The sequence below is a fragment of the Homo sapiens genome, chromosome 20 (genome assembly GCF_000001405.40).
Source record: "Homo sapiens chromosome 20, GRCh38.p14 Primary Assembly".
NCBI lineage: Eukaryota > Metazoa > Chordata > Mammalia > Primates > Hominidae > Homo > Homo sapiens.
Genome location: NC_000020.11, coordinates 15,453,341 through 15,476,683, shown reverse-complemented (window position 1 = coordinate 15,476,683; position 23,343 = coordinate 15,453,341). Strand labels below are relative to the sequence as shown.

At 39.9% G+C, this 23,343-nt stretch overlaps 1 protein-coding gene across 5 annotated transcripts in view, besides 1 other annotated feature; it reads right to left on the bottom strand.

Annotated features, from left to right (window-relative positions):
* Positions 1–23,343, bottom strand: part of MACROD2 (mono-ADP ribosylhydrolase 2) — a 2,057,682-nt gene that overhangs the window by 576,514 nt on the left and 1,457,825 nt on the right. The window lies entirely within an intron of this gene.
* Positions 881–940: an enhancer, noted in NCBI's record as "active region_17556". NCBI's record gives its function as "activates an Ori minimal core promoter by ATAC-STARR-seq in GM12878 lymphoblastoid cells {active_cell/tissue: GM12878}" and the evidence as "EXISTENCE:reporter gene assay evidence [ECO:0000049][PMID:35858748]".

The following is a 23,343-nucleotide window of genomic DNA, read 5'->3' as shown; positions in this document are numbered from 1 at the left end:
AATTGAATGAATAGTTATTTTGTCTCAAATACAACTCTACCAGCTCAGGGAAACACCAAAGTAAGGATGTAAAAACTACACTGTGCTCAGTTGACAGACTTACCGGGGGGGGGCAAAACAACAATATAGTTTTAAAATTGGAAAACCAAGCCTGTATGTTTGTTTTGTTTTGTTTTCAGGAGAGGCCACATCATCAATACTTTCTGATGTCACAGAGGCAAATCCTATGCCAAAAGAAAACTTGACTATCAGTGACTTTGAGCAGCACAGTGATTCAGAAGATTCCAACTTTATGAAGGCTAAGGAATACCTCATTCTCCTTATTTCACTTTCATTTTCCTTTTCTGTGTGCGAAAGAGTGATATGTCACAAAAGCCTGTGTCTAAAGTGAATCTAAAAGTGCTCTTTTGATAAATATAAAATACAAATTTTAAGGGGTAATAAGGCATTGTATCATATTTAATGTATTCTAAAGGTATACAAAATTACAGTGGCATCTTATAGTTGCTAGAATTTGGGATTCGAAAAAGTATAACATTGTGAAGTGCCAAATCAGTCAAAAATCTAGATAACTTATCTTTGTATTACAACTTAATAAAAGATGTATTTGGCCTCAAACATTTTGCTTGACTCTCAAGGCTGAGTGACATAAATTTAATGGAAGAATAGGGGTGGCCCCATCTCCTCCCTTTCTTTGTTCGCCTATGGTTCCTTTTTTTGCAATATATTTCCCTTATAGAACGCAACGAAGAACATTTTCTTCTCCTCAAATGATTTTAGAGGGTTTGATGAGCCTGAAAAAGCTAGAAGTAGAAAGTCAGGCTAAGAATAGTGGGATTGAATGTTTTCTGCCATCAGAATTACCCTTCAGATGGTAGGAGACTTTCTGGGCAAGCCTGCAGCAGCCACAGTGCACTCTTCTCTGAGGATTACATGGCTATCTGGACGAGGACTCATTCCTGTCTTTGTTACAAGTCACAGCACATGCTGACACTAACGGGGCATGGGGCTTCCCCTTGGCACGTGTGTGGCAGGCGGCCAGGGCTCTTCAGCCAGCATGATGGATGACTGCGGGGTGTGGCTGCTGCAGCATGGGGAGGTTTGCTGAGGGAACACAATGATGGCTGTAAATGCTGACAAATGTAGTTCTGTTTTCACCCTCCATAGGCTGCATTAAATGATCTCCCATCTGAATGTGATTTTCCTGGATACTCTCATGCAGTTGCCAAGGAAAAGAATTTGTCCCCACCTTTCATTCCTACCTAACAGAAAGCTTGCCACATCTTTAATGCCAGCAGAAAAACTTTCATCAGCATGGCTTTCAAACTTTCTTGCAGATTCATCATCCAGGAAAAGCAACAAAGAGGTACCTTGTAGTGGTGGGATGGTGAGGTGCAGAGCAGATGTTACTATACAGTCCTACCTTGGTATCCTAAGGGAATTGGTTCCAGGACCTCCCACAGACACTGAAACCACAGATGCTCAAGTCTCTGATAAAAAATGGAATAGTATTTGCATACAACCTATGCACATCCTCTTAAACATTTAAAATAGGCCCTAGATTACTTATAATACCTAATAAAATGTAAATGTGATGTTAATAGTTGCTATACTATATTCTTTATTTGCACTATTTTTTAATTGCTGTATTGTTATTTATTTTTTTTTTCTGAATATTTTCAATCAGCAACTGTTGAATCTGCAGATGCGGATCCCCCAGGTACAGAGAGCTGACCGTAGGGGCGAGGGGGAAGCGATCCTGCCTCCGAGTACAACGGTGATTCCTACCTGCTGTGGGGAGACATATGCCTACAGGACAAGGCCTCCATGCAGGTTGTGCTAAGTCAAGGAGTGGATAGGGCTGACATCCAGCCAGGGTCAGCTGCCAAGGTCTGTGTTCAAGTTCAAGGGTGACAACCTCCCCACTCTGACCCCTAAGAACGAACTACTTTCTCTTGCACAAAAGCAATTAAACTGTCAAGCCACGCACCTATGGGGTTGCCTCTGTTCCCAAAGGGTGGTTTTTCTCTGATTTGTATGAAGTTACTGTGTATGCTGGCAGGCACCCTGGAACTGAGTCAGTTTTCCGATTGCTCATTTTTAATCTGTACTTCATGAAAATCAGCCAGCTACTGATATTGATGGGAGTACATTAGGCATTCTGAAGCAGGAAAAAGCAAAGAAAGATGAGAACCACCAAATTAGAGGTTGAGAGAAGATCTCCACTGTAGAGTGTGAGATGCTTTCTAGTCCATTATCTTTTGCTCACACTATCCCCGCTCAGATGTCAACGCTGTGCAAGGTGGGTAGTTGGGACAACATGAAGCCTCGCTCATTAAGTGAAATTTCATCCTAAGGGATAATAAAAACAAACCAACAAAAAAATAAACATCCACAAACGTAGAATGAATAAATAGAAATACAATTTGGAAAGCTAAAGCATAAATCAACCATGAAGTTGCTAGTTATAAATGATTTATGATAAAATGTTGTTATTAACAGCTAATGTATATCGAGCTCTTACAATGAGATATGCACTATCTTAAGAGTTTTCAATTGCCTTATTTCATTTAGGTTCTCCCAATGATACTATTTCAGATTAGACATAATTAATTCTCGTTCCTATTTTATGGAGAAACAAACTGAGGTCCGCAATGGCATGAGTTTGCCTAGACTCACAGAGCTAACAGGGGCTTGAGCCAGGATTCAAATCTAGGCAGTCTGAACTCCAAAACCACACTCTGGAACATGCAGACACACTTCTATGTTGGAAAACAAAAGATCTTAATTTTGCTTCTTTTAGCTGATAGAAAACGGACACTTTGAGGAGTGTGCTATTGAAAAACATGCAAATCTGATTAGTAAACCCACGTGGATATCACTTGTGAAGAGAAAAGCAAACTGGGACTAGAGAAAGGAAACAAGTCAGGAAGCTGTTAAGAGCAGGATGGATATTAGCAGAGTTGGAAACTAAGGGAATTGGCAAAGTCACTGTAGCACAACCAATAGCTATTATTTTTTAAAATGCATGCAAGTGTAGAATTCCTTCAAGCTTAGGAAACAGTAAATTTAATACTCAGCTCAGAAAATGGGACCAGGGATGGCTGTCCTCACTACAAACAGTTGAAATTCAATGTTAGAATGCTGGTTTCTATTGTCCTGGGGGGATGTCTTCAGGCAAAAGTTACTCCCTGATAGATGATAAATGGGTCAGACATTCACCCAGTCTAATTTTATTCTTCTCTGATATCTGGTGGACAGATTTTAAAACTGACAGAGGATTGATGGTAGATGTTTGCCTCTTATAATCCCAGCCCTTTCACTGTGCAAATATTTTTGAATGCCTACTCTATACCCTAGTCTGTACATACTCTTCAGCACCCCATACTCTACCTAGAGAAAGTGTTTCACTCAACATCTATTGAATGGTGGTTCTGGGCCAAACACACTGTTAAGGACCATGCCATATATTGTTTCTAATCTTCCCAATATACCTGAAGGCCAGGCCTTATTATTTTAGTTACTTGGATGAGTAATATGAAGCTCAGAGATGTGAAATAACTAGTTTAAGGCCACACAGCTAGTAAGTGATAAAGATGAGTCAATTTGGGTGGAGGGGCTCAAAAGTTCATTCTTGCTATTGTTTTCTATTAGGATTAAGACAATAAACTAGAAGTATGAGAAAAAGATGTTTTAGGAGTTTAGGGGCAAGAAAGATTCTTACCAGATTAGGGATAAAAAGCAGAGAACAGAAGACCAGAAAAATTTCCTGGAAGAAATGTATTTATGGCAAACTCCCTAGAATAATGGGATTTAAATAAGAAATAGAAAACAAGATTCTGTAGAGGTACTGTGAGCATAGGTACAGGGCCCGAAAAGCATAAGGCATGGATTTTACTGCACCAAGTTTAGTTATGGGAAAGAACATTGGAACATAAGGTAAGAAACTAGTTAATAAAACAAGTACTGAAATGATAGGAAATAGAATAAACTTGGATGATAGCAAGAGGGGAAAAGGTGGGAAATATTCAACAGATGTGGAGAGAAAAAAGGCTGGAAAATAATTGACAACAAATTACATGTGGGAACAAGGTGAAAGAAATAGTTATGAGCAACGGGATTTAAGGCTTGAATAATGGTGTTATTAATAGAAAAAAAACAGGAAGGGAAAGAAAAATAAGATGATAGATTTAGTATTAGACAAAGTAAATCTGAGGCCAGTGAAACAAATGAAGGAGATGTCCAAACTGAATTCACTTGAAAAGTCAAAGTTAGAGAAGGGTATAGTCTTCTAAGCCTGCAGTTAAGTAAGACACATTACTTAAAGGAAAGAGTAAAGAGAGACAAAATGGAAATAAAGGAAGAAGATTAGCTAGGAAAGAGCACCTGGGAAAGATGTGGGCCAATAGGTGAAAAAAGAACCAAGAAAACATAGAAAAGTCAAGAGAAAGCCTTTTTCAAAAAAGAAGAGATAGTGTTGAAGCACTCAAAGCTACAGAAAACTTAAGAAAAATGAGCACCCAGAATACAGAAGTTGGCTCTGTTCCTATGTGGTTGTTGGTATATACTTTAAGGAAATGGTTTGGGATCAGGAAAGAGGAAGATGCCACATTGAAAATGATTTGGGATCATTGCGGGGAGATGGTAAAAACAGTAAATGTAGTCTCTTTATTCAAGGAGTTTTAGGAAAGGTAGAAGATAAGCTTGTTCAGGATCTTAAAGTCAAGAAAAGTAGTTTTTTGCTTGTTTGTTTTTAAGTAAGAGGACAGATTTGTTTGCTGTGAAAGAAAAATATTTAGTTTGGAAGGGGGAATGAAAAGTGATCAGAAAGAGGAGGATAACTGACAGATCATCAATCTGGAGAAAGAGGTAGAAGAGTTGGAATCCATAACAAAGGCAGAGGAGCTGACTGTAAGGAAGATTAGGGGATAATTCCTTCTTTTAGACAGAAAAGAAGGAGAAGGAAATGGATGAAGATACAAAAAAAATGTGGTGGAAAAGAAGAAGGAACTGGAAAGTCCCATGTTACAGGTTCATTTATCTCATTTAAGAAAGAAACTAAGTAATCTACAGAGTAAACTTGGCAGAAGGTCAGGTCAGCAGTGGAGGCTTTATTACGACCTGAAAACCCACAGGTGTGGGAATCAAACAGACATGAAACATAAAGTTTTTTTTGAGTTCTGTGTAAGTTACTGTCTCAGTCCCAGAGTTATCATATGAAAAAAATGAGAATAACACTACCTACACCAGGTTGAGGTTTGAATATATGCAATCATATCAAATGCTTCGCACAATGGGTGGTATAATGAGTACTCTTTCCTGAACTGCCATTCCTTGAGTGGAGCAGGGAACACTGGGATTGAATGCAGGGAAGGATGTAGTAGGCAAGTGATTAGAGATGATCCCTAGGAGTACTGATAAGTGGTAAGGGCCCAGCTGAGAAGCAACAGAAGTTCAAGTGTGGAAGGAGAGCATGTGTGATGGGAAAATACAGCTGGCCTGTCATCCCTATGTTGATAGTTTTGGAAGAGAATTGGAAAATATGAGTAGCAGTATTTCCCCAAGGATGAGAACTAAGTGACTAATAAAGAAGGGAAAGGACAAAAAACAAAGAGGAGAAAGGGGCACATACAAGACCATTGTTGATATAATCAACCATAGGATCCAAGATGGATGAAGGAGGCGGAAAAAACTTTTTATAAGCCCAAGAATAGAGATGAGTTGGGAGACCAGGAAGCATGCCAGGGAACAGAGCATCAGCAAAGCCAAGGACTGAGAGAAGGCAAAGAAGGAAGTGAGGGAGGACAAGAGATCAAAGGTGGCAGAGAGGAGTTCTATGTTCAGAATCACAGTGATGCAGAAGCTGTAGGTAAGGCAAGGTCTGGGATGGCGGCTGAAATAGAGGCAGAAGAATACAGGAACTGCTACATCAGGATGTAATATCCCCAGAAACAATGGCAGAGAAGAATAGGCAAGAAGGTGGCCAGTGTCCTGCCACTGAGAAACAGCCCTGGACCACCACAGATGGAGGCAGTGAGGGTGGAAAGGGAGAGCCCATGAGGGTTGTGGACACAAGCCAAGATGGGATTGGTGGTATCTCTGCAGGACAAGAAAGTGGCCCGGAAGTGCAAGGGATGCCCTGGCTCTTCCTCCGTACTCCGCAGGTGGCAGGGAGATGACATACAAAGGAGTAGTTTCCCCCTCCAACCCCTGTTGAAGGTTAGGAGGAGATGGTACCTCAGGGGAAAGCCAGGCTTCAGTTTTACAGTGACAAGGTGAAACAAACATCCAAGAGGCTGAGAAGAAGGGAAGTTTATTCAAAATTGTACAGAAAGGGCTGGGCGCAGTGGCTCATGCCTATAATCCCAGCACTTTAGGAGGCATAGGCAGGCAGATCATGGGGTCAGGAGATCGAGACCATCCTAGCTAACATGGTGAAACCCCGTCTCTACTAAAAATACAAAAAATTAGCTGGGTGTGGTGGCACATGCCTGTAATCTCAGCTACTTGGGAGACTGAGGCAGGAGAATTGCTTGAACCCGGCAGGCGGAGGTTGCAGTGAGCTGAGATTGCACCATTATACGCCAATCTGGGTGACAGAGCAAGACTCTGTCTCAAAAAAATAAAATAAAATAAAATAAAAATGGTACAGAAAGATAAATAGACTTACTTCTGAGAAATATGGGCAAACTATAGAATTGTCAAGTTGACAACTAAGTTGTTTTCAACTAATTTTTTGGTGAGGCCTAGAGCAAATTGCTTAACTTACCTGTGCCTCTAGAAAGTGGAAATAAAGAGACCTCATATCATTATGAGGGTAAAATAAGTTAAAAAAAGAAAACCTTTAGAATAGGGCCTGGTATGGAGTCGGTGCTTGGTACATTACTGCTAGGAGTAATATTGGGATGAGGTGTCTGGGGCCATTTGCATAAACCCCCTTAATCCCTTCTGATGCGTTCTCCATCTTGAATGTATCCTGTTGTCTTCTGGACATGCTCTTTGGATGGCTCCTTACATTCCCACTGGCATCGCCCAGGCCCAAGGCCCCTTTCTTGTGGACTGGATTCTTGCTCAGTCGGTCTCCTTACTTGGATTTCTCTCCCCCTCCTCTGCTTCCAGCCCCTTTTGTACCCAACTGCCAGGCATGACCCTGCCTAAGGACACACTGGGGCCCTGCTTCCCATAAGCTCCATCATCTTTGTGGATCCCAGGCCCTCCGTAGCTTGACATTGATCTCACTACCCACTTGTATTTCACAACTCCCCAACATGGACTTTCAGTTCAGCCACATCCCAGTATTCCATGTGTACCCTGTTTGTTCCAGTTTCCATGCCCTCACCTGTGCTACCTTCTTTTCTTCCTGCAAATGAATTCTACCTTTCATTTCAGATCATCCCCATTTCCCACCTCCTTTCTTTTGCTCATCTCTGACTATGCCAATCAACAGATTTTAACATCAATCGTTTTTGTGCATATTATATACATTTCCTAGCCAGCAGTAATCTCTTATAGGATCAGGACCATGTATTACTTTTTCTTCTTTTTAATTTCTTAATTCCTCACAGAACGTATGTCAGTGTTGAATGCATAGCTGTCAATCAGTGGTTGTCAGCAATTGGCTTTAGTGTTCACTACATGAGCTCCTAAATATCTTCTATATTCTAGTGATCTCAGTGAAAATGATAGGAACTATATAGAAATGTGTTTCAAAAATATCCCCCCTTCCATTCTTGGAGGTCTTGCAAAGTGAACAGAAATTCCATTATTATGGGTTCATCCTTTGGGTCTTGAATATTTTTCCATCTTCTAATACTTCTAAGAGAGCAAAAATGTTCCCAAGGTGGGGACAATGTCTTATTGCATGACAGAGTGATACTTTGCATGGAGATTGAGATTGCTGACAGGGAGGAGGAAGAGAAAGGAAGATGGCTTAGAGCATGGCCTTTTGATACAGAAGATCTATCTGAGGAGAAAGGATGCAAGAACAGCAGAAGACGGATAATAGAAAAAATAAAAGAAGCACACAAAAGGCAAAGTGTGTGGAACAAACTCACCTTATTGACACAAAGATGGTGCTTCCATGTCCAGACAAACCTTTTAAGCCCTCTCTGCTCTGTGACTGCACAGCCACTGAGCTTCTCTCTTTGTCTACAAGCTGTTTTTTTTCTTGAGTCAAACTGTTTTCATAGATAATGCCATAATACATCCTAAGTAATTTGAAGCAAGGTGCAAATCACTAGTCAACTGTGAAATCATCAGAGCATGAGGAATGGAACAGGAACAACACCAGGATATTGGTTTCGTTTGTAGTTAAGACACCATCAAGGCTAAACCCAATTTCTTCCCACTAACTGAAATCAATAGCTTCTTTCTCTTTCTTTTTTTTTTTAATTGAATAGAAGTATGGAGGAAGTATCCTCTTGACATGTTCAGTACTTCCTCAGCACAAGTACTTTTGAAAGGGGTCCTGCATCTAATTTTGTTAGTTGATGTGGATCCTGCATTTAATTATGTTCTGATACTGGCCATTAGTCCTTATTCAAATTCAATGCAGCGGCAGACATATTCATTATCTACAAAAGACATTTATAGTCTAGTGGGAGGAAAACATAAAATTTGCCATCTAAAGAGTAAAGGTCTATCCAGAAAGTAAAAAGAGAGAACCTGGACTCTGCTTTCTGACATATAGCCACCTAACTGGCATCATGGTAGAAGCTCGGAAATCAGATTGCCCTTTCTAGACATTTACTGAATAGTAGCATACAATCTTAACATCACAGAAACTTTCATTTCAGTAAGAACTTCATACAAATTAGAATGCAGTCTGCTGTTCTCAGAGGGCCTCCTCTCCCTTGCCACTATACACTCAGGAAGAAACAGAGTACCTGGCACTTGGTAGCAGAAAATAAACATTTGTGGAATGAATAAACAAAGTTCTACTTTTCACATTTTTTTACCATGCCTACACCAATTTGAATCAATAAATATTTGATTTATTCTTCTGCTGCAAAATTCATTAACCACATGGCTGCACCTTCCTAAGAGACCATATACTGTGGCCACTTTCTTCACAATAAAATATAAAGAAAAGGAGATTTGGAATAAGAGAGAGAGGAGAGACAGAGAATATTTGGAATGAGAGAGAGAGAAAAAAATAACCTCCTGAATCCCAGTTTTCTCATCTGTAAAACGGGGAGTGCAATGTTTCGCCTTGGAGAGGTAGGAAAGATTAACTGAGATAATGTATGCAATGTACCTGTCTTAGTTTGGCTCTTCCACAAGCTGACCTTCAGGCAGAGATTTCAGCACAAGTAATTTATTTGGAGGATAATGCAAACAAATATATTTGAAGGACAAAGCAGTTGCCACTGTGGACAGCTAGGGCTACAGCCCACTGGGAAACTTTGGGAAATGGTATAGAACATACACTTCGGAGTTGGCTTGTCTGAGGAGCAAAGGAGATGGGTACTTATCCACCAATCCCATCACTCGTGGATCTAGGACAGCTGGGATGTAGTGGATGTCAATTCCTTGGCATTCTGGACTTGCCTGATCTTCAGCAGAGCAGGTTCCAGCAGCCAGAGAATGCCTTCATAGAGCAACACACTTTCTCCTGAGTGGATGTCAGGTTGTATGGACATGGTGAGCATAGACAGGAGGACCATGGGCAGGACAGCAACAGTATCTGCTGCAATGCCCAACTTCAGCACCCAGTGCATTTGCAATAAATAGCTGCAAATTATGATTGCATCTATAAAGACTTGCTGGGCCTCTAAGGAATGTTCCTCCTCAGGAGTAAAACAAAAAATTTCAATTTTTATAGGCTCTAGGGAAACCTTAAAGAGTCTTTAGGAGCTTCTCTAGCCATGAAATACCTTCTTTCAGAGGACAAAAATAATTTTGGAGGGCTGCTTACAGAGTAGCAACTGTCACATAATCAGTTTAAATAAATAAAATTCACTTTGTAATTATAATACAGTCTCTTTTCTTCTTAGTATCTCTCCAAGCCCTTGTTTTAAAGGTTTTCACAGGAAGTATGTTAGAGAGAAATCAGACTGGAATTGTTATGATATAGAAAAATAGAGGGAAGGAATAGCAAAGAATGATGAGACCACTGGTTCCAGTGACATGCCCATAGGCCAAATCACAGTGTGAGGAGCTTAACAATTCCGGGCATTTTGTTAGATTCTGATCCAGTTCATAAAAATGCCACCGTTCACTTTGTCAGACCCTAAATGAATCACACCATCTTGTGTTCTTTTACCAGCCTTTGCCCCATACCAATGGCTGTATGCAGGTGGGATTGTCAACACAGTACTTGAATAATTACTTTAATTGAATGAATTAATATATCCTCAGGGCTAAAATAATTTGGAAGCCTGCCTAATCTGTATATGTTAACAATGCCAGGCAATGAGCTAAATAGATCAAAGCATTTATGGTTATGGAATGAATGAAAGAATGAATGAATGAACAAATGAATGAAAGAATAAGCACACAGATGCAAAGACTTGTGCAGAATGCCCAGCCACGACTTTTTCTGATCAAGAAAGTCTGGGATCAAACTTAAAGTAACCCCCTGCCACCACCCTCACTCCATAATGTCCTTCTCTATTACATAACTCTGTTTCATTTCCTTTACAGTACACAGAATTTAACAAAATATGTCACTTACTTGTTTACTTTCCCTTCACTAGGGTAAAAACTCTATGGCAGCTGGAGCCATGTGTTACTTGCTTATCACTGTGTCCACGGAGCTGAGGACCCTGTCTGATACATTAAGCATGGGCTCAGTAAATATGGATGGTATAAGAGGTGTGGCCATGGAAGTCACCTTCCTCCACAGGGTACGAAAGAAGAGATGCCACCAAAGGTAAGGTGGGCACATGGGAGCACTTGTGGGTACAGTGATGGAGGTTAGATCTTCATGCAAGGTCTTTGGATGTTGATGAAATGACCGTCACTCTTGTGGAGCCCCAGCCACATGTCTACCCCTTCCTCCCGACCTGCAGGGTTGCCCCGTTTTCTCATGCCTCACACGCTTAGAGAAGAATTGAAGCCCAACACCCTGCCCGATTGTGGACTATGGATAGCCCTGAGCTGGCGCTCCCCTCAAGGAATCTAGGAAATGTGTATTCATCTGTTCTAAAGTTATGAGGAGAAAATTCTGCCTGCTCTGCAAACTCCATCCCGAGATTGCCAAGCATTTGTCTCACGGCCTGGGCCAGAACCTTGCTGAAGCCAGGACACCTGAAAGCTCTTAACACAGACAGAGCTGTACCCCATCATCACTCTCCACCTTGCCTGGCTCCCCTTCAGGAACATGGCTTGAGTGGCTAAATGCTGGTTTTCATTTTCATGTTAAAAGTCAAAAACTATTCTAAAGTTATGACGTATCATGGTAGATACATCTTTTTAAAAACAAAATAAAAAAATAGCATTTATACTTTAAATATCCCATGAAAGTAGGCCTCATTCTTCTTATAAAGGCACTTCATTCTAAGGTGTTTAGAAATTCCTACATATAAATGTGGCAAATCTCATTCACCTTAGTTATCTTTATTTATGACTCTACCTATATAGAGTATTGAAAAAGTGATATAATCTCCAAAAAAATAGGGAGAGAGTATATCAAGTAAAGAAAAAGGTACAAGCTAGCTTTTACTGGGGAATATGCTGAGGGTAGAAAGAGAGTAAAAAAATCAAATCAGGTCTCCCTCCACGGGAGGTAAGTGCCTCAGAGGAGTGTCAGTCCTACCCAGTGTTTATGCCCATTTACCAGGAGCTATTCACAGTTCGAGGCATTGGAGATACAAGGATGACTAAGACATGTATCCTCACCTCAAAAAGCCCAAGCAAAAAATAGACTTTTCAGGCAGAGCAATAATTAAGATAGAAACAAAGCCGATCTAGAGGCAGAGCAATTAATTTCCAGGGACGGCTAAGAAGGTGCTATCTTAAGATGGAGTTCTGAAAGACAATTACCATCTGAACAGGTACATAAGGGTCAGATGATGTGATTATGTTTAATTATCTTCAATACAGTCAGAGTGGGATAAAGCTAAGGCAAAAGAGTTTTAGAAGGGACTGGGAGATTCCAAGAATGGTTAACATATAAATTAAACATATCACTGGAATATTTTTTCTCTAAAGATATTTCAAAAACCAGTGAGGAAGCAGGTTGGCTAGTTCATAGGGCAAGTGACTTAAATTATTAGGGAAATGCATGTCTATAAACAGTGATATTGCACAGATAGAGCAAAGTCATCTACCAGATACTTTTCTCCATATCTCCACTCCCTCCCATTTCTGAGTAAATGGTGTCAGGGAATGACTTGTCTTTCGTGAAAAGAACAGCCAGTTAGATGGGTCAGGCATGGTGGCTCATGCCTGTAATCCCAACACGTTGGGAGGCTGAAGCAGGAGGATCATTTGAACCCAGGAGCTCAAGACTAGCCTGGGCAACACAGGGAGAACCCCATCTCTACCAAAAAATTTAAAAATTAGCCAGGCATGGTGGCGCATGCGGATTGCTTGAGCTTAGGAGCTCAAGGTTGCAGTGAGTCGTGATTGTGCCACTACATTCCAGCTCGGGTGACAGGGTGAGACCTTGTTTCTGGAAAAAAACAAACAAACAAAAACTACAAGCTATGTGAGATGGCTGCAACATGAGTGAGTATCAACTGATGGGTGCAAAGATCCTTCATCGAATGGCTAAAATCATAGAAGGGACTAGGATACTTCAATCATCAATTTGTCTTGAGAGAAAAACAGAGGTTTTCCTCAAGCTGTAGGATCAAGAACAAGGTGCTTAATAGCAGGGGAAGTTTGGAATAAAATATTCAGTAAATGTAACCTGTTTTTAAATGTGCTTATTTTAAAATAAGCTTTATATTTTACAGTAGTTTTTAAAGTTTTTTGTTTGTTTGTTTTTTGAGATGGAGTCTTGCTCTGTTGCCCAGGCTGGAGTGCAGTGGCACAATCTTGGCTCACTGCAACCTCTGCCTCCCGGGTTCACATGATTCTCCTGCCTCAGCTTCTCAAGTAGCTGGGAGTACAGGCCTGCACCACCACACCCAGCTAGTTTTGCATTTTTAGTAGAGACGGGGTTTCACCATGTTGGCCAGGCTGGTCTTGAACTCCCGACCTCAAGTGATCCACCCACCTTGGCCTCCCAAAGTGCTGGGATTACAGGTGTGAGCCACCACACCTGGCCTAAAAGTATATTTTAACTGACTTCTTAGATTAATCCTTTGTTATATCTAGATATTAGTGGTCATCTCCATTATCCTTTGCTGGAGTCAAGTGGTCCACATAGTCTAAGTCAGGTAAGGCAAATGTTTGGCTCTTCCCACCCATTACTTCCTCCTCCTCTGGCAAACATCACTAATTAATGACAGTACTCTTTGCTCTGAACCCAAACTAGCTCTCAGAATCCTTTTCAACACACCTCTTCAGGCGGTCATTCCTCCTGTTGGCATTGACACATGGAATGTAGTGTAATGGCTATCTCTAGTTATGCCAAAGCTTCCCAACTCATTAACCATGATCTCCCAGGGGAACACTGGGTTAGTTCAAGAGTTTTGAGAATTCCTATGTGTATGAAGACTAGCTTTTATCATGAATAGCATGTTTCATGCATACATCTGTTACTACTTTACAAATGTATACATTAGTTGTAGTTAATAAAATGCAAATAACTTTTTAAACGTTACCAAATTCATAGTTGCCTTTTTATTACTATAGAATAGTGGCTTGTGAATTTGATATTAGGGGAAAAAACCCTTTTACTGGATAAGTTTAAGAACCCCTGGTTGTCAGTCATAATCAGCATGGTCTATTAATGTCAACCACATGAAACTTGTCCAAGTGGCAATTATAGTTCCCACAAGGCAGACATCAGTCTCTTTGTATAATTGCAGAGTTGTGACACAAATATGTTACAAAGGGGAAGTTTATTCATTCAGTAAATACTGTTCTCCTTTTTTACCAAACCTGAAGCTAAATCAAAAGCACTGGGCTTTCAAATCAACAAACCAAGGTGTCAACAAAACAAAATATCACTTGCATATTTAAGAATACTCAGCTGTAATATCTATTTGCCTCTTTGTCCAAATATAATATTAATAGAACTTGCCTTTCCTATCTTTCAAGAATTTTTTAGAATTATAAAAGCAAGAGGTCATGACGTGCTTTGGAAAGTAAACATGCTATACAAATGTAAGGGGTTCTCATCACTTTTAATTACACGTTATTTGCAATTACTTTACAATAAAAATTTCAGTTTGAAATATATTCCTCAGGCTAAATCAGTTTCTGGTGGTCTCTACAGACAAGAGCAAACACAATGAGAACACACATTATTACTAGCTATCTCAACGGCACGGGTAAAATATCTATGAATGTGTATACTGTCCATATGCAAGTCATGCCTTCACATTTCACAAGCATTCTCTCCAATCATTTTCCTAGAGTAAATTTTTCACTTCATGTAAATGGTTTCTAAGGGGAAACTTTGTAGAATATTCCCAAAATTGGCAAGAAGGGAATTCCATCTGGAAACTAGATTCCACGTAGCTCTTACAGACATATAATTTTCACCTAGCAGGATTCCAACATGATTTGGGTGGAATCTATAATTTCGCTTTGTTCATAAAGGAAAAAAATACCACCAGTTGTGAGTATGTTTAATAAAAGATGTAAATGAGGCTAGTTGACCTAATAGTAAAGAAAAAAAAAATCTTATTTTTACACAGTAAATTTACACAAAGAAGTCTACAGCTTGGTTGTTTTTACATAGAAAAGGCTCCATTTACACCTTGAATGCATAAACAAAATGTATAGCAATTCGGGAAGAATCCTCAGTTTGCTATTTTAAGCCACCAAGTTTCTGGGTGGCTTGTCATGTGGCAAAGTAACTGCAAGAGTTCATTTTATTCAATAGATATTTTCTGAGGACCAAGTGAGTGGAAGTGCTGGAATGTCGACAATGAGAAGTTTTGCAGAACAACTAATAATAAGAATAATTAATATTTCATTTAAGTTTCAAATGATCATACAATTTGTATAAAGTAGGTATTATTATCCTTGTATTAAAATAAACCAATAGGCTAAAAGAGAGTTAACTAACTTGTCCACTGTACTCCAGCTTGTATGTAAAGACTCATTCTAAGGACTTTTATGTCCTTGTTAAGTGCTTATTAATGATACAGACCAGTTTCTTGCCTTCCTGGAGAGGACAGTCAAGTAGGGAAGAAAAATGTAACATATAACCCTAATATTAAACAGAACGTGTTAAGACTAAGATAAACATAGTTTATTGACACATACCGTAGGGAGAATTTATTTCTGGCAGGAGTAGAAAGAGACAACTTCAATCAAATAGCTAGACAATGTTACTTTAACACATTCTCGTAAAGTAAATGAATACTTTTTTAAAATAAATAAATATCCAAAGAGAACATCCTTGGAATACTTTTAACATGAAATCTTACCAAAACATACAATACAGAGCCAGGCATGGTGGCATGTGCCTATAGTCCCAGCAACTCTGCTGGCTGAGGCAGGAGACTCACTTGAGCCCAAGAGTTCAAGATTGCAGTGAACTATGGTCATGCTCATAGCTCACTGCAATCCAGCCAGGGCAACACAGCAAGACCCCATCTATTAAAAAAAAATATATATATATATATATATATATATATATGGAGAGAGAGAGATAATTAAAGGGAAGCTATTTATAATGAAGAAAAGTGGACTCATTCATCTTCTCCACATCTACCCTCACTTCTCCATCACACTTAGGTTTTCTCTAGGGTGTGCAGAGCTCATTCTGAAAACAGTTGATTTCATAGAAAAGATCACCAATCATACACAAATGTCTATGAGGCCATGGGAATTTGATAGAATTGGTAGTTCCTTCTTTTCAGGGCTGTGTCAGTCAGGTCAAGAAAGGCAAACAGAAACCACCACAGTTATTTTAAAAGAAAATGTAATAGAAGGAATTGTTTACATAGGTTTTGAAGGGCTGAAAAGGCATAAGGGGAGCCTTGAGCTAACAGGCAGTCAAAGCAGGAAGCAGCTACCATTCTAAGGGCTGGTGGATCAAAGGGAAGAAGTTTTGATCATTGCAACCTAGAGGAGTGTCCCCACACAGTAGAAACCCAGACCACTGAGGAAGGAGCACTGTTCAGTTGGCATTGGAGGCTCTAGAACTTGAAAGAGGTCCCCAAGGAGCTGGGACCAAGACCTCTGTGGAAACCGTGCTGCCTGCTGGTGCTAATATTTTTGAGGAGAAACTCAAGCCTGGTTCTCAGGTGCTACAGGGGTTGGAGGGTGGAATCTGGAACCAACTGCCACTGCCAGGGTGAAGGATGTTGCCAATTGGTCCTGGCAGAAACAGGAAGTAAACAGGAAATAATAGAAACACTGAAAAGGGATGTGTTACCTGCACCTCCTTCTTATGAAAAGTTTCTGGGGTCTTGTTTTATCCATGTTGACATCACTCTTGGGTTCAAACGGGAGTAGAGTGGCTGAAAACAACTACAAACCTTCGTTCTCCTGGGTTCAATTACAGCAGAAACAATAGTCGTGTCTTTTTCCAGTAGTTACCCAAAACATCACTCTAGGGGAATCAATGTGCCCATCTCTGAAACAATCTCTGTAGCTAGAAGTGTAGAATCAACCTGTTGACCAGATTTCTGTCATAGGCGTGTTCCTGGATCTGTTACTATGGCCAGTTTTGGGTCACAAACTACATCTTTGTGGCTAGAGATAGAAACTCATAAGAACCACTTGGACTGAGGGTGGAGAAGGGTGGCCCCCAAAAGAAAATTTGGTGCAATAATGTGAAAACAGAAAAAAAAAACAAGGACAAATGCTGAGAAATGGAAACAAATATCTACCACAAGGACTGTCTTTGTATCCTAATCATAATCTGAGTTCTTACTGTTCCCATAGGCTCCCGGGAGAGGAAAACTGTCTAGAAAAGGAGCAAGAAGCCTTTTGAACTCAGAAGACCCCTACTAACTTCATACTTCACTTCCCATTCCCCTCGCCCAGCTTCTTCCATCGCTCTTAGAAACTTAGCAGGCAGCCGTAATTCTTTAGTCAGTTCAAAAAATCAAGACTGAAACCTTCTTGGATAATTATTAGTTAATGATCAGGATGGAGAGCATTTAGCTTCCTGGAAAGATCAAGGAAGCTTCTATACAAGGATAGTGGGGGGAAAAAGGCTGCCATTAATATGGCAGGTATTAAGAAGCTGTTTCAGATGTTAAATAGGCAGCACACAGCTTCTGCTAAATTTCTTCACCTTGGATAATTACATCCTAACACCAAATGAGCATCCATAATACTTCAGTACTCTAAAGGGGAGAGCGGGGAGGGGGCAGGAGATAGGAGAGACTTGGGCGAATAGCAGCGATAATGCATAGATAGTAATGAAGAAGAGGCTGCAGCTAAAAGAGATTTTATTCTCTCTCTACAAATTTTTATCATGGAAAAATTTTTAAAAAGGCAAATTTCCCAGCTTTAAATATTAGTAACATTTTTGAGATATTATGCCCTCAAGAAATGTTTCCACTCTGATTTCCTCAGACCTCCAAGTGGCCTTCTGATAATATTTCAACTTCTATCCTTTCAATCAAACAGACACTGGCAGCTCTAGGAACTCCCTGAAATGTCTGCATCAGGCTCACAACTGCAACATTCACTTGTCCTTCAAAATGCCAAGCAGACCTTGAACGTCTGCTGAAAGCCTAAGGACTCTCCACTGCTCACACAGTACGCACCACTGAGGGGTTAAAATTATAAAGGCCAGGTGCAGGTGAAGGGGTACTTCTCTGCATTTGCCCAATGCTGTCCTCCTCCAGGCATCCTGGCCCAAATCTGCCAGGTCCAGAAGAGCCATTGTATACGATGAGGCAGAAACTCTGGAAATACCCATGGAACTTTGAAAGAACTAAATGAATATCACCAATGACAATCTCAGGTAGTACTGAGTGGACACCTACTGAATAAATGGCACAATCTTTTTTTTTTTTAAAAAAAAAAAACAAAAAAACAAAAAAACAGTTCATTGCCTTTATCTGTCCCAAAGAATCTTATAATCTTTATAAGCTTAGGGCTGTTCTCTGATTCAGTGCTAAATTTGTCAATAAGAATGTTGGTATTTAACTGGCTGTTAAATACCTGGAGTGTTAACTCCAGCTTTTCAATTCTAAGCCCATGATTTTATCACTGATGGTGACTCTTGGATTATATTTCAGCAGCTTCATGAAAGCAAAGTTAACTTCCCTGGGGAATCCAAATATCGTCCTGAGTTTGACCATAAAAATGAGGCTGTGATCTCACTATTATAGGGAACTTCCTATGGAGAAAAAGGTGGAGTCCATTTCCTTTTTATGAGTTGGTTCCTATGTGATTTGTGTGAATGGAATAGTCATCCTTGATCTGCAAGGCAATGGTATATGAAAACACATGCATGCTTTATTATCCAAAACATCTTTGGAAATGCTCAGAACAGTTTGAAACCAAGCATTATATAGCATAATTCATATTTATAGCCCAAAGTTCCTTTTACTGGGGGAAATAATTGGAAAAATGTAACTGGAAATTGAGTTTAGAAAAACAGAACTAAAAAATACCTACGATGTACTATGGAAGGGTTCCTTATGAATCAGATGCGGCCCTAGGTACTTAGACTTGTTTTTCTTTTTTCTTTTTTTTTTTTTCATTTAAGGTGCAGAAAGAACAACCCTGTTAGGTTATATTATGTTATCTCCATTTTATGGAAGAAGGGAAACCACAGTTCACGGAGATGAAATCATTAGAACAAGAGATAAGATGCAAGTCCCAGTCTAAGCAACTCTAAAAGATTGAATCATTATAGGACACCAGGCATCTCCTAGGGACTCAAGATTTATTTAAGCTTCAACTAGAGCATTATGTCCTCAAATGGGTAAATAACTCAGAGCATTAGCCATAAAACAGGGAAGTAACTAAAGGGGATGATTTATACAACTAAAGGCAGAGGAATTTGGTAACAAATTCTGCCAACGACATGAAAAGAGTCAAGTTATATTCTGGCTTGCAGTCATCATGGACGGTACTGGAGTAAAGCTCAGATAAAACTGCATTTCCAACAAGTGAATGAGGCTCCTCATTCTCTGGGCAGGCAAATCCAGTTGCCTTATATTTCCACCTGGGATATTTCAGTTACTCTGTAACTCTTGGACCCAATCACATGAAATAAATTGGTAACATTATGAGATTATGCCTGATTATGCATCTAACTCTCAGAAAGAACAAGGAGATGATGGTCAATTTGGTACGGTCAATTTGAACAGCAAAAGGTTTTATAACTTCCAGATCTATCATTATACCATTTTAGCTCCTCAAAATAGAAACATCTAAGATACAGAATAGTCAAGGCAGGAAATCCTTATCAAATTCTAAATCTTCTAATACTGTCAAAAGTTAACAGAAGAAACAATTTGAGCACTAGAATTTCAGAATATATACAGTAAATAGAAGACAACCATAATAATTTTAGTTAATTCATACATCCAGCTCAAGGGATATTCAAAAGTCAAATGCTTTTTTTTTAAAAAAAAAAAAAAAAAAAAGAAGAAAGGAAAGAAAAATGAATAGCATTCCCTTTTCATACCTCAGTCTTTGCAGGTGCTAGCCTGTCTGGCCAAGATCACACAAAATGAAGTGAGGTGAGGTCAACTGCCCATAAAAAGTGAGGCCTGCAGATAAAACTATAAAGCCCATGAAGGGACAGCCAAACTTCACGTTCACCAGCTCAGAAGATCGCAGCCCTGGCTGTACATTAGAATATGCCGGGAGACAATACAAATCCTATGTCTAGGTCACGACAAGGAACCATTCCACTGTACCTCAGAATTTTGAGGGGTAAGACCCAGGCATTGGTATTTCTTAAGCTCTCCAGGTGATTCCAAAGGGAAGCTGAGATTGAAAACTACTGCTCTAGGGAAAATGAGGGAAAGAGAAGCCAAAGTCACAACTTCCCCGGCAGCTGCTTCTAGGTTCCATGAAAGCTAGCTGAATTTGGCAGTAAGAATTAATAGCCTTTCCTGAAGACTCAGTTCACACCAGAAGCACTTAATTTTATTTACCAGGTGCAAAGACTATCTACTTGCCTTCAGGGAGCTTGTGTGCAGGTGCACGGTTTGATTCCTAATCATAAATAGTTGTGCCTGAATGCAGTGAAGGCAGTCACTCTTGTCTATCCAAATAGCAAACAGCAAAGGGACTACAAGGAAGAGTCATTAATGGGTGTGATGATCAGCAGAAGAGAACTCCAAACTGCTTGCGTGGAAGAGATAGCATCTGCAGAAAGATTCTCCCAGGGGAAGGAACTGTGTATGCAAAGGCCCAGAGGAACTGAAGCAAAGGATGTGTTTTAGGAAGAGTCAGTCATTCTAGAGGCTGGGGCATGGATGATGTCGGGAGAGTTGGATCAGGTAGTTCAAAGAGATTCTTTTCTCTTTCAGGCACTCAAACAGTTCTGTGACTACCAGTATTTGCCTTTAGGTTTCCAGTTGTCCCAGCAATTACTGTCAAGATACCACAATTATCATTAACACACAGAGTTCCTTAAAAGGAAATGGTTAAAAGCCCACTTTCGCGGAGACATCCTGCTGCAAGAAACTTGATGAGGTCAACAGAGCTATCCCTCAGGCTTGTCTGGGTCTCTATTAAGCTTATAAAAAAGAGATTTCACAAAGGAGAAAGCTCATTTTTATTTTACAGATTTATGAAGAGAGCCAGCGTGACTGGTGAAAATGTCAATCAATTCCCATCTTAAAAAAATGAGCTGAAATGAGAGGTCAGTCAGCATCTAGAAGGTTGTAATCCATGTAGGAAAACCGAGCACAGACGTTACAATAGAAAGAAAAATGGGTAATGAAAGTGAATCTGCTGTAAAAACTTCAGTAATTAATTCTTCTTCAAAATCATCAAATTTCACAACTATAATTTCACAGTCTTCCCATTACAAAAAGATTTCGACAGGCCTGACAGTTATTTGCTCAAAGCCATATGATATTTCACAAGCAGAATATTTAAACATTAAAACCATCAGAATTTTGGATAAGGATTGCATTGTAGGTTTTATAGTAAGTGTAGTACCCCAAGGGTATGTACATAAATCACACATCTAAAGGGCCCTGACGTTTTCATTTATTACTTGTTGAATGTTCTGGGTTGCTCAGATGCTAGAGACACTTGTATTCCTGCCTCTGATGACCGATATCCAATAAAACAGTGACAACTCATTAATCAGTCTCTAAAGTAACCGGATAAGCTGCCACTAACTGGAATCTCCATTAAATCAGATGACACAGAGGTAGGACCAATATGCACACTCATTATCTAAATCATGGCTGACATAGCTGGTTAAAAAGGAATGCTGAGTGTTCTGCTGTTTTTCTGTTAAATGGGCCCATTGGTGACAGGTGAAATACTTCTCTACTGCCTGCACGCCCAGTGTCTCTGAAGATGCACAGGAAGAAAGTCTCTAAACATTGGTAGGATGTAATTCTCGCTGTTGGCTACGTGGGTGAAACCTGAAGTTGGGATGCCTTGGTCCAACCACTATTCTGGTACTTGTGGTCTCTGTGTGACCATAAGCCAGCTTTCCTCATCAATGAGAGTAAATGTTTATCACACAGATGGCCTTCGACAGTAAAGGGGTTAATATACACCAAACATCTAACACAGCACAAGGCAAAAGGCACAACGTGGTGCTTAATAAGTATCCACCATCACTGCTAATTAATCAATTCCTCTCCACAGCTAGGTCAGCTCCACAGTTCAAAGTATGCGAAATGGTTAAAAGCCCACTTTCGCAGAGACATCCTGCTGCAAGAAACTTGATGAGGTCAACAGAGCTATCCCTCAGGCTTGTCTGGGTCTCTATTAAGCTTATAAAAAAGAGATTTCACAAAGGAGAAAGCTCATTTTTATTTTACAGATTTATGAAGAGAGCCAGCGTGACTGCTGGAAACTTGGCCTGGAATGTTAGGCTGTCTCTCATGAAATTGGAGAAGGAAACCTTAAGAATATATTTGATAAATATATGTGTGATGGGTAAATGAGACCTAAACAGAGAGAAGACCTGCATATCGATTCAACAAGTTTCCTAACTCAGAAACATCTAGACAACTGTTGCAGTCCGGAAACTAAGTTGTATAATAAGGGTGTGTGTGTGTGTGTGTGTGTGTGTGTGTGTGTGTGTGTGTGTGTGTTTGAATATGTCAAATGAGAGGGATATAGCATTTGTTAGGGGAACATGAGAGGGGAAGGCAGTGTTAGGGCAGGATGTAAGGCAGGGAAAGAGAGATTCCAATAATTTGAAAAGAATACCGCAGCAAGATGCTTATAACCTACAGCAAAGAATGATTTAAAAACTGCTAATAATGCTCTGTTCTTATTAAAGATACAGCTGAACAAACACACAATAGTTAAAGCACACAAAAATGATTCAAAGGCTTTGGTCATAACTGTGTGTCAACTGAAAACCTATTACAATTGCCTCCTCTGAAGCTCACAGCCTCTATTGACAATTGGCTAGGGACACACCTTCCCAACCGTTTAGCTTTCTCCATAAACCCAATATTCATTTTCACAGCAGAGTAACGATCTGGTGCATAAAGCTCGGATTGCGTGGGAGACACAGGCCAATGTTAAAAAGCCCATGGCTTTGGGTCTAATATCCACACTCCAGCACAAATCTCACAGCTGCCTAGAGACCTCCCACTCTGGGGGCTACAAGCTTCTCTCGCCATGAGATAACTAGAAGCACTGGCATAGACCCTAGAAAAGGAGAATTCTTCAGACCAGACACTTGCTGGGTAGGCTTTGGTGAACATGCATGGTGCTTTTTAGGACAGGAGAATGTTTCTCTGGGCGGTATTCTTTATCCCAGAGAAGGACTGTTTTCAGACACCTCTGAAGTCAGGTGGTGTCCTTGTCCCACCTCAGCCCCTTCCTAAGCTACTTATGTCACCTCTCAGGGTCTTCGATTTCTCATTTGTACAATAAGGAAAATGATACTGATCTATCAAGATTGTTGTGAGAATTACAAATAACACATAAGATTTCAGGCACAATTATAGGTTTCCAGGACATAGTAACTAATGTTGTTAACTTAAAGATAGGCGTCAATTCAGTCAGTGTACAAGCGTTTTAACCTGAACTGGATCATGATGTAAACATAATTTTAAAAACAAATCAAAATAATGGAATGTTAGGAATGATTAAATTAATTGCATTTTCTGGTAAGATCACATCTGAATAGGAGGTTGGAGGGGG